This window comes from Homo sapiens, chromosome 12 (genome assembly GCF_000001405.40).
Source record: "Homo sapiens chromosome 12, GRCh38.p14 Primary Assembly".
Taxonomy (NCBI): Eukaryota; Metazoa; Chordata; class Mammalia; order Primates; family Hominidae; genus Homo; species Homo sapiens.
The window spans coordinates 38,912,226-38,924,590 of NC_000012.12; the positions used below are offsets into that span (position 1 = coordinate 38,912,226).

Below are 12,365 nucleotides of genomic sequence, written 5' to 3' on the forward strand. Positions count from 1 at the left end.
ACAACACAGTGGCTGGCTTTCCCAGAGCCAAAGTGGAAGCTGCCAGGTCTCCGAAAGCCTCGGCCCAGAATTGGCACAGTGTCACTGATTTCTAATTGTCAAAGCAAGTCTCAAGGCCACTGTAAGGAGTTGGAGGGAGCGGGGTGGCTGACTTGACTTACAGGGTAGAGCAGCATGCACGTATTATGAGGGAAGGAATTGATGGCAGGCATCCTTGGGGACTACCTACTTAAAATAGTCAATAGAGGCTAAAATAGCATGTATCCCCCACTTTAAAAAAAAAAAAGACATTCATATTTTTTTTTCACTAGTTTAGACTTTTTCTAATTGAAAAGAACAAATACACTTAAGGAACCAGAAATCTCGTAGCATACATTGTAATGAGTAGGCTCAGAGTAGTGAGCAAGTATTTGTCTTTAAGAATTGCTGTTATGCCAACTATAGGCTGAACAGTGGGGGTGGAGGAAGAAATATAGAAGACATGAAGGATATCTTCCCTCCTTCCAAGCATCTTAGAGTTTAGTGTGAGACCCAGCTTCAATTCATTGCACCAATAAAGAATATGAAAGAGCAAGAGGTAAGCAATGATTTGTCATGAGATAATGTGATATAGACTAATGTAATTGATGCTCAAGGGAAGGCATATTAATGAGAAAGACAAGCTATTAAAACTTTCCTGGAAAAATGGGACTTGACACTTTCCAACAGGTAAAAAAAGACAACTGACCAATATAGAAAAGGGTTACAATATAAGTAAATATAGAAGTAAAATTAAGTACTACATATGTTTGCACAGTAGAAAGACAACCAAACTCACCAAAGAAGTGTGCAAATTTGGATAGACAGCACAAAGTTATCTTAAAAGATCTTGTAATTAAAGTGAGGATATGTAAAACTTTCAGCAATCTAAAATTATACAATTCTGAACTGTAGTAGAGTAGCCATGAGTCACAAGTGGCTATTTAAATTAATTGCTATTTAATAAAATTTAAAATGCAGTTCTTCAGTTGCACAATTAGGTGGGTGCAAAAATAATTGCAGTTTTTGCAATTAAAAGTAATGGCAAAAACTGCAATTACTTGTGCACCAACCTAATACATTTCAAGTGCTCAATATCCACACTTGGCTATGGGCTACCCTATTGATAGACAATTTCCTTTACTCTCTGAAGTTCTTTTTTTTTTTTTTTTTTTTTGGGAGATGGAGTCTCACTCTGTCACCCAGGCTGGAGTGCAGTGGCATGATCTCACCTCACTGCAACCTCCACCTCCCAGGCTCAAGCAATTCTCCTGCCTCAGCCTCCTGAGTACCTAGGATTACAGGTGCATGCCACCATGCTCGGCTAATTTTTGTATTTTAGTTGAGATGGGGCTACACCATGTTGGCCAGGCTGGTCTCAAACTCGTGTTCTCAGGTGACCCGCCCACCTCGGCCTCACAAAGTGCTGGGATTACAGGCGTGAGCCACCACTCCCAGCCTACTCTCTAAAGTTCTATTGGATTGTGCTGACAACCTATTCTACTTCCTAAATATTTCTTAAATCTCCTCAACTTTCACATTCTCTCATCCACTCCATTAATGGTAGACATTAGTTTAGTCTATGGTCATCTTTCACCCCGGTGAATGCAGCACTCTCCTACCTTGTCTCCCTGTTTCCAGTCCCCTCCTCCAATCTTCTCTTCATTCCATGGCTAGAATGCACTTTATAAAACATTAATCTGATCTTGACAAAATCCTTCCTAAATTGTTCATACCACTCTCCTTGTCTGTAATACTCCTCTCTGCCTTCCTCTTTCGCTAACACTTACATATTTGGCTCCAAATCAGATGTCACTACCTCAACAAAGTCTTTTCAGGTACTTCTGAGTCTCAGTATTCTTACCTGTTAAATGATACCATTATGTGTGATATACAGTTAGTGAAAATTAGAGAAAATGTATGTAATTCATTTAGCACTTAACACTTAAAATGAGAGTAGTGATGCTGATTATAGTGATGACCATAATTTGGTGGTGATGGTTTAAACCCTCTGGCTCTATTTTCTTACGTAAGCTTCCCAGAGGAGCATTCCAAGTGTCACCTATCTCCCAAGTAATAATTTAAAATTACTTATGTAGCTTATATGACTAAGAGGCATCTACATTCACTACAGTTCAGCCACACAGCCTTCCTTGAACTATTCTAACTTACTTTGCCCCTCTCCTTCTCAAAGCTTTTAAACTGTACTTCTTTTTAATTCTGTCTTACTTGGCCAACTCCTATTCAGTCCTCATGGCCTACCTAAAATGTCATTTCCTCATGGAAGTGTTCAATAAATACTCTCATTTGCATTGCTTTTTAAACAATGAATCTAGCAGGACAACTTAATGCATAGAGAAGAGACATATATGAAATCTGAGGATTCCTTTATCTAATAAAGAAAATAGCAGTATGTTTCTTCTAGAGTTGTAGACATTTATTTGAATATAATTACTCAATGATACCCAGCTAACATTGAGAGACTTCCTAGAATAAAGCCTTTACTCCTTGAAATCCAGATGTCTTTGAAAGGGGCCTGTCCATAAGAATTTTACAGGGATATTTTTTCATGATTATTAAGTACAGAACAAGACTTATTTTTTATAAATATTTTCAACCTCTAAATTTATCAAAAATGTCTTCTAAGTAGCTTTTCACTAAATTTGCTAATTCAGAGAGTTTGATTTTTCAAGACTGCTGAAAGAAATCCATTTGCAAGAATGAATCAGAAAGGGCAGGCATAAAGAATTCTGAAACTTTTCAAAAGAATACAAGAAAAAATACATTCTTATAAAAGGAGTATGAAGTCGAAAATATTTTGCGTCTACAGACACCTTCCTAAATGCCCAAAATAAGCAATAACTTTTAACTATCATAGTTAGAATAAGCATTGTTTGACAATTTGCTTAATACCTATTTCTCCTGCTAGTCATTGAGCCTCAAGGGCATAGGGGTCCATCTGTCTCACTCATTGATTGTCCCTTGCACTCAGTGTACACCGATGTGAGTGAGGTGCTATGTGGCCAAGGACTGTTAAAAGTATCTAAATTCACTTTGATATGTTTAGTTCAGCAACAGCTGAGCACTTGGATGGACTGTCCAACAGGCATTTGGGACTGGTGAGAGGACAAGATTGTTGATATTGGAATCAATAGCTTAGAATTAGCAGTTGATGCCAAGCATTTTGGTGAGTACTCCAGGAAAGAAAGGAAAAGAAGAAAAATAATGCATATCTGGCCTTGGGAGAGAAGGACAAAGAAAGGTCCTACCAAGGAAACAAGTTGGGAAGAAGCACGTGGACAAACAGGAAAAGAAAAACAAACAAAAAACAGCATCAAGACACTAAATAAAAAGAAGAAGCTATTAAGGGGAAAGATGTCAATGGGATCATTGTGGTAGAAGCTGCAAAGGCCACATTTCTGCCTTGTTTTTGTTGTCCCTGTGGGTTGCCTCACTCTTTTTCTTGGGCAGTTACCAATGTTACAGAATCCTCTAAAGATTTTCTGTAATCATCCAAGGACTGTCTTTCAGATTCTTCTACCAAAATGTCCTAGAAGCCCAACTGTAGCTCCTGCTGTGCTGTCTTGAGAATAAAGCCCACCCTGCTTCACATGCTATTAATCCAGAAAATAGCTCTTAAGTAAGCAACTGCATGGCTGAGGACCTCATATAGGAACAATCCCCTCTGGCCTACTATAGCCAGATGTATGAGGAACTAATGCCTCATTTCCAAACCTGATTTAGATCGCTGCTAGAGCAGGGCAGATAAGCATTAATTAGTATGTGGTCAGAGTCTGCTCTGGTTTCTTTCCTGCGTGGATAATTAGAATGTGCAACCATGCAAAAAAGTAAAAATTTTGCTGGAAACTAGGGAAATAGAGACAGAGAGGAAAAAAAGAATATAAATCTTGGGTGTTTAGTAACTTGTTATAATTGACATTCTTATGAGCTAACCTAGGCTTTTTGGTATATTTGAAAATAATTATTTTAATTAGAAAATGTTAAAATACTACAGGACCTTTCTCTAACTGTCCAAGAGATTCAGGCAAAACTTGTAATTCACAAAACAGTTTTTCATAGTAAAGTTAATTGCTGTTAAATTTACCATAATTTTGTGATAACAGATGCAATATTCTTTATTGAAAGTTCAAATAATTAAATTGTTATTTCACAAGTGAGTCCCTTAGAATGTTGTAAAGTTTGGCTGGGTGCAAAGGCTCACACCTGTAATCCCAGCACTTTGGGAGGCCGAGGCAGGTAGATCACTTGAGGTCAGGAGTTCGAGACCAGCCTGGCCAACATGATGAAACACCATCTCTACTAAAAATACAAAAATTAGCTGAGCACGGTAGTGGGAGCCTGTAAGTCTCGCTACTTGGGAGGTTGAGGCAGAAAAGCCTGATACAGAAAAGAACAAACTGATATACTGGACTTCATCAAAATTAAAAATGTTTATTATTTGAAAGACATTCTTAAGAGAATAAAGACAAATCACATAGGAGAGGAAATATGTTGCAAAACATATATCTGATCAATGACTAGAATATATAAAGAACTCAAAACTTAATAACAAACCTAACAACACAATTTGAAAAACTGAAAAAATGTTTGAACACACACTTCACCAAAGAAGATATACAGACAGCAAATAAATACTTCAAAAAATGCTCAACATCATTAATTGTTATAAAAGTGCAAATTAAAATCACAGTGAGATACTAGAGCACACATATTAGGATGGCTAAAATAAAAACAATTGGCTATACCAAGTATTGGTGAGGATATGGAGTAACTGGAACTTTTATATACTGCTGGTGGAAATGTAAAATGATACAGCCGCTTTGGAAAACAGTTCGGAAGTCTGGACGTTTCTTAAAAGTTAAACATACACTGGTCATATGATGTATGAGTTTAACATACACTCATCATATGATCGTATGATGTAGCCATTCCACCACTAGGTATTTGCCCAAGTAAACATATATTCATACAAAGATATATACATGGATGTGCATAGCAGCTTTATTTGTAATACTGAAAAAGCAAAACAGTGGAGAGTGATGGCTATAATGATAACCTTGATTGTGGTGGTGCTTTCATGGTTGAATACATATGTCAAAATGTATCAAAATGAACAATTTAATTACATATAGTTTATTGTATGTCAATAATACCTCAATAAGGCTTTTAAAAAAAATGCACACACCATTTAACCTGGCATTTCCAATTGAGGAATCCATTGTACAGAAATGTTTGCAAATGTGTGAAATTATATTTGCCTAAGGTTACCTATTATACCAGTTAACAATATCAAAGACTGGACACAAATTAAGTGTTCATCAGTAAGGAATTTGATAAATAAAGCATGTTTCACAGTTGAATATGAGGCAGGCATAATAAAGAATATTTATTTTTAGTAGAGATGGGGTTTCACTATTCTGGCCAGGCTGGTCTCCAACTCCTGACCTCAGATGATCCGCCCACCTCAGCCTCCCAAAGTGCTGGTATTACAGGCAGGAGCCACCATGCCTGGTCGGATAAAATGATTATTATGTGACCCTGTCACTCAATTAAGGGACGACAGCTTTTATTCTCAAATCTTCGTTATGATACATACAGTTAGCTAAAACTCTTAATTCTTTAAATATTTAATAAATATTTATTAGATCTCTGGGAAAATATTCAAGCAATTCAGTTGTACTAACTATTGCTTGTTTTCTACTCCAGCAGTGATCCTTTCCATCCCACTGGCCACAAACAGACCCTAAAAGCATCTTACTTGCAGATGTGTTTTCTCTCACTTTCCTTCCCACCATTCCTTTCTTTCTGCCTCCTTCTGTTTTCTTTTCATAAACTATGAAATATCACACTATGCCACAGATTTGTAGTGGCCTCTGGGATACTACATTTTTGGTACAGTAGCTCTCCATATGGCAGAGAAAAAAAGACTGATTTCTATGCATTCCGTCTGGTGTTCACAGGATCTCAATGTATCTCTATTAGGAGCTTTTAAAATCAGTACAAGAAAACTCATGCTTATCCCAGCATGAATCAACATGTCAAAGAATGTCGACAAACATAAAAAAGAAAAATTAATATTTAAAAGGTCTATTCATTAATTCCATGTATATTTTAGAATGGCTTACCTTTAAGAGGCCACTAAAACCATTTTCCACTAAATCTTAGGTTTTGATGATGGTGGTCGTGGTGGTGGTTGTTATGCTTGTTTTAAGAAGCATTTCTAGCGTGACTCATTGTATTAGCTGGGCAGTTAATTGTTCTGATTGCCAAGATTGACAACTACATTGGATTTTAAAATTTTTAAAAATTTGGTGGCTGGGTGCGGTGCCTCACGCCTGTAATCCCAGCACTTTACAAGGCTGAGGAGGGCAATCACTTGAGGTCAGGAGTTTGAGACCAGCCTGGCCAACGTGGTGAAACACCATCTCTATTAAAAATACAACAATTACCTTGGCATGGTGGCACATGCCTCTAGGTTGCAGTGAGCCAAAATCATTCCAGTGCACTCTAGCCTGGGTGATGGAGTGAGACTCTGTCTTTAAAAAAAAAAAAAAAAGGTATCTTTTCTTTCTTGATAATGTACTATAACATTCAAAGAATCACAGGTTGGAAGGATGCAATATTCTTATTCTTTACAAGAGACTTTTTCCTGCCACTTTGTTTTTATAATGACTGTAGCCAAAAATAGTAGGATATTATGTAACTTCAATGTATAGAATGCTAAATACATCTTCAGTACAAATCTTTTTTCATAAACCTGCTTTTTTTTCACACAAATGGTAGCTCCATGACTGCAGCATTTGCAAGTGAACGATAAAGTTCCAAATGGTGGTTTAACAACAGTATAACAGGTCCACATAAATAGATTTGGTTAAGGAAGCAAAAAGTTGTATGTAGTCCAATACACATAGTCAAACCATTGGGGAAAAAATTAAACAACATTAAAAACTTCAAATAAGCTCTTTTTTTTGTTTCTGGTTGCAACCGATGTTTACCCGGCCCTCCACAATTGTAAACACAAAACATGTTTTCACCCAAAACAAAATGACCCACAAAAAATAATTAAGTCGGCTTCCAAGAGACCATGGCCATCCGTCAGCTGAGAGTGAGCCAAGACACGTGACTGCTGAGGCCAGGGCCTGGCACACAGTGACTCATGGTGAATATGTATTGAATGGATTAAAAATGGGAGGGTTTTTTTTAATGTGGAGGAAAATTGGCAGAGTTAACTGGGAAGCAGTATGATTTTTCAATCCAGAGAGTTTTTAAAATCTAGAATTCTAATAATAAAGATGTTTTGTTTCCTTTTACATATATATTATAGGCTATGAATGACATGTAAAAATGTATACATTAAGCATTTCAGAAACTTGAATGAAACTCTCTGTATCAGATCACTCGTGAGACAGTGAGAGCCAAAGCTGACGTATATTAAATAAAGTCAATAACTACTTCTCATCAAAACCTTGTGAAGTAAGTATTATTTAAAATAGGTATTATTTATTCCCATCCCAAACAAGAAAATTTAGACTTAGGGAAGCTCCATGACTTAAAGGTCACATATCTATAGCAAGTGGCAAATGGCTCTAATCAAATAACTCCAAAGGTTGAATTCTTCAAACTATAGCACTTATCTTCCATTCCCTCATAGCCAATCTGTTCCTCCTCTGTATGTCCATACCATTTACAATTGCTCACAATCATTTAGCTCTGCTGACACAGCCTGTAATTGTGTATCATTTTATCTATTTACTATTTTATTAATTTCTGTTCTTTTCATTTTGCTCTTTTCTTATGTGTCTTTTGTCTTTACTCTGTTTTCATTTTTTCCAACTTGCTAAGTTTAATGCTTAGTTTTTCACAATCTTTTTCATATTATAATACAAGAACTTAAAGCCATGAATTTCCCTATAGTACTGCTTTAGCTGCATTCCACAAGTTTTGATATAGAGTACAGTTGCCTCTCAGTATCCATGGGAGCTTGGTTCCAGGACCCATATGGACACCAACATGCTCAAGTCTCTGATATAATATGCATGGTATTTGCATATAATCTCTGCACATCCTCCCATATATTTTAAAGCATCTCTAGATTATTTATATTAGTATAATAATACAGTGTAAATGTTATGTAAATGGTTACTATGCTGTGTTTTTTAGGGAATAATGACAAGGAAAAAGTCTGTACATAAATGAAATGCTTTTAAAAATATTCTTGATCTGTGATTGGTTGAATCCATGGATGTGAAACTCACAGGTACAGAGGACTGACTGTACTTTGACTGCTGCTTTATAATATTTTACAAATTTCATTTTAACCAATTGATTGTATGGAGTATATCTTTTTTCTCAAAAGAGTATCTTATCATCTTTTTATTATTGATTAATAATCCAATTACAATGTTATCTGATAAAATGGATTATATAATAACAGTTTTGAGTGTATGAAGACTTCTTTTATTATCTTATACATGTTTAGTTCCAGTAATTATCCGTACATCTTCAAACATCAGCATAAGAGGTCTTGACAGGCCACTTAGTGTTTATCTCCATCTCAGACTGTGAAAGATAGATAAATAGGTAAGTCCTCGCCAAGGATTGTTTTTATAATTTCATTGAAAATTCTCTAATAATATATCTGCTTTGGTGAAAAGGGAGATTCAATAAATAGGGAAAACAACAGCATCAAAGCAAACGTTTATGTTTGTGCAGTGAGTAGATTTCAGTTCAATATGTAACTAACATCATAGCTTCATAAATTAAATCTATGGGCATTTAGAGTTATGCTACAATAGAAATACCTCCTTTTGGAAGAGTAGATAGAAGACAGATAGAAGATGGATAGATAGATGATAGATAGGTAGATAGATAGATAGATAGATAGATAGATAGATAGACTCTCAACAGGTTTTGCTTTGTAAAAATATATCCACACTCCAGGCTCCTGACTCATGCATGTAACATACTGAGAATATTCGCAGCTCAAACTATCTGACCAGCAGGTGGCACATGCCTACCTGCTAGGGAGTACAAATAACCAGTAACTGACTTTCTTACAATAAGCTGTTGTGAACAGCTGTGACTGCTCAGATTCAAATTTTTGTATTACTTTTGTTTTAACTAAAGATTTCTTTGCCCTTTCTTCTGCTTAGAGTACTACTTCAATCAAATAGAAGAAGGATCCTGTTTTAAAAAGAATTAATGGCATTTATTCTTTAATGTATTATGCTTCATCAAACTCTATTCCTAAGATACTCAATGGAATAAGATTATTATTTATAATAAGTTAAGCTTATATTCTTAAATAAAAAATTAAATCAATACTATAATAATATAAATTTAATCGTAATTGGCTGAAAAATTTATTGGATTTCCTTTGGAGATTAGAGATGTTTAACATGATAACCAAGGATCCTAAAAAAGGATTAATAAAGGGGCTTCAAAGGTCCCATGAATCCCGCAAAATTATGTGCAAAATGTTGTTCGTGGGAGAGTTTTTTCTGATAAGAGGTGTAGTTTTTATTATTAAATTTTTCAGAACAAAAAATAAGTTAAAAACACAAAAAAAGACAGTGGTAGACATATTTCTTTAAATTACTATAAATTATAATATAAAGAAACATACAGAATTTGGAAATTTTCTATTCTTTTCTCTTGCACGTGTGTAGTGCCCCTCTAAAATGTTATTTTTTTCTTTTAAATGAATGTATGTTATAATCAAGTTAATTTCAAGAAGCATGAAGTATTTATCATTTTCCAAATGGGTAATTCTCTTTGATCCTTTTTGTAACAAATATACAGTAGTTTAATTCTTTTAACTTGTATTAAACTTAGTCATCTCAAAATTTCCAGGTACACAGCATTTAGTTAAAGGTCTTTTCCAGTTTTATTTAAGTAGTCTTTTTGCTTTTTTCTCTCTCACACTGAGTCAAAAACTTGATTAAAAATAAGATTTTATAAACCACTTGAGATTTTTTTTTTTCAATGAGAGAATCCCCTCCCCACCCCCGCCCAACATGAAATCCCAGAAGATAGCATATAAGAAAACTTCTATTGAAGGTAAGAAAAGACTAATCTAGTATTTGGGGAAGTTATACATATATATACATATATGTATATATATAGAGATACACATATATATATATATATATATATATATATGTATAACTTCCCCAAATACTAGATTAGTCTTTTACATTTTTATAAAATATAATATTATATATATCTCTCTATATATACACATATATATGTGTATATATATACATTTATATATACATACATACACACACACATGTTATTGGAGAAAGGTTTTTTGTGGTTTAATCTAGATATGGGGAGGAAATTGCAAGGCTCATATCCAAAGGAAGAATGTAATCAGAGAAGAATGAAGAAATCTTTGTTGTCAAGAAAATTGACAAAACTCTCCCTGACCCTCTCCCTTCTCTCAGAGGAAGGCTTTAAATCAACAGGTCTTAGTCAAGTTAATTAATTGCAAGCAACCAAAGCTGATTCTGGTTTATTTAAGCAGAAAATTGATTAAATTAATTACATATTGGGTTGCTCCCAGAATCATTGGGAGTTCAAGAGAACCAGTCTCAGAGTCAATGAAGTTGAGACAGTGAAGTCAAAATGCCTCAAAATCACACCTCAGGACTGGTCTAATGAGTACACCAATGAATATTAGATGTTGCCCTTACATTGTTGCTATTACCAGAGAAACTACTCAATACTGACCCTAGAACACTTCCATTATTGTACTTGGAAAATTGACTCCCATGTAGCACCACAGACCAGACTGCCATTTTTGCTACGCGTTGTCATCATTTTCACCACCTCAACTGTCATTTCTTCACCATTGCCACCACTGCCTACACCAATTACATCACTGCCATCACTAGCGAAGACAAACTACTCTAGTCTATTTATCTTGGGACATTCGGGTAAGAGCAGGTGTCTATTCCTCAGATTCAAGGAAAGCTGGAAAATTGAAAATAAAGAATTTATTAGCATTTATATTGAGAAATGGGGTGTGTCTCCCACCAAAATTTACAAAGTAAGAATAATCCAATGTAGAAAAGAATTATAGCACTTGGCATACAAAAAATATCTAGTTCTTTTCCTATTAACACTTCCTAATATACATTTGGATGTATAAAACTACCTGTGTGATCACATGTGGCACATTATAACTATGCCTTGCACATCAAATATACACTCATTTCTTCCACAAAGACTTACCAGTTACCACATTCAGTTTCAAGATCTCTGGGGAATGGCTATTCCTTTTTTATTCCAACATAATTCTGTATTGATAATCTTTAAAGTATGAACTAACATTAAATAATGTGAAAGGGAAGAAAAGAGAGTAATTATCAGAGAGATAATTATCAGAGTGTGTGTGTGTGTGTGTGTGTGTGTGCATATGACTGCAAGAAAAAAATGCAGGTATTCTCTACTTTGTATCTATAACTGGTTATAAGGCTATAGTTGGTATTGATAATCTCCGTATCTCATTAATTATCTCATTTACTTGTTTCTTTTTTTTTCCTTTAGCTAACATCTAATCTGGTCTGAGTTTATTGCCTAAGTTTATGGCCTACAACTTCATTTCTTAGAAACCAACTCCTGGAAGTCCTGCCTCTATGATACCGCTTTTTATTCTGCTTAATAAACACGGATGTACCGGAGATCTCCTGGGCTCTATTCATACTCTTTTCCATTCCTGCTTATAGTAGCAAACCTGTTTCCTGTTGAGAGTCAGGCTGTCACCCAAGCCCACACCACAATCCTGAGAATATTTTTGTCTTTCATTAAATGCCATTTGGAGTCTAGAATTGTCTGGCAGCAAGCTCAGATTCCAATTCAATGGAACTCTTATAGGATCTCTAGTCAAAGCGTTCCTCCATGGATTCTCAAACATGTGGACAAGAAGATCCCAGAGTTGTATAAAAGCAAATACTGTGACTATGAAAGAGAATGCACCATTTAATGAGTTCAGAGGATATTAGGCATCTTACAGGAGAACACCTCACCCTCACAAGAATTTGTCTCCAGGCTTGCAGTGTAATTGAGTCTTCTACTGTTTTATACGACAACAGCCTCTCAACATTGCAAGCCTACAACATTGAGATTGCAGTAAACCTAATCTTGTGCAAATCAGCCTATTGCACCACAAACATGTATCTACTGAATACCAGCTGACTGAAAGGTCTCAAAATGCCAGCTAAGAATTATCTGTCCAGGCCAGGCACTGTGGCTTATGCTTGTAATCACAGCACTTTGGGAGGCCGAGGTGAGTGGATCACCTGAGGTCAGGAGTTCAAGAC

The 12,365-nt window shown here is 35.4% G+C and overlaps 1 annotated feature.

Moving 5' to 3' along the window:
* Positions 8,960-9,049: a silencer, noted in NCBI's record as "silent region_4346". NCBI's record gives its function as "represses an Ori minimal core promoter by ATAC-STARR-seq in GM12878 lymphoblastoid cells {active_cell/tissue: GM12878}" and the evidence as "EXISTENCE:reporter gene assay evidence [ECO:0000049][PMID:35858748]".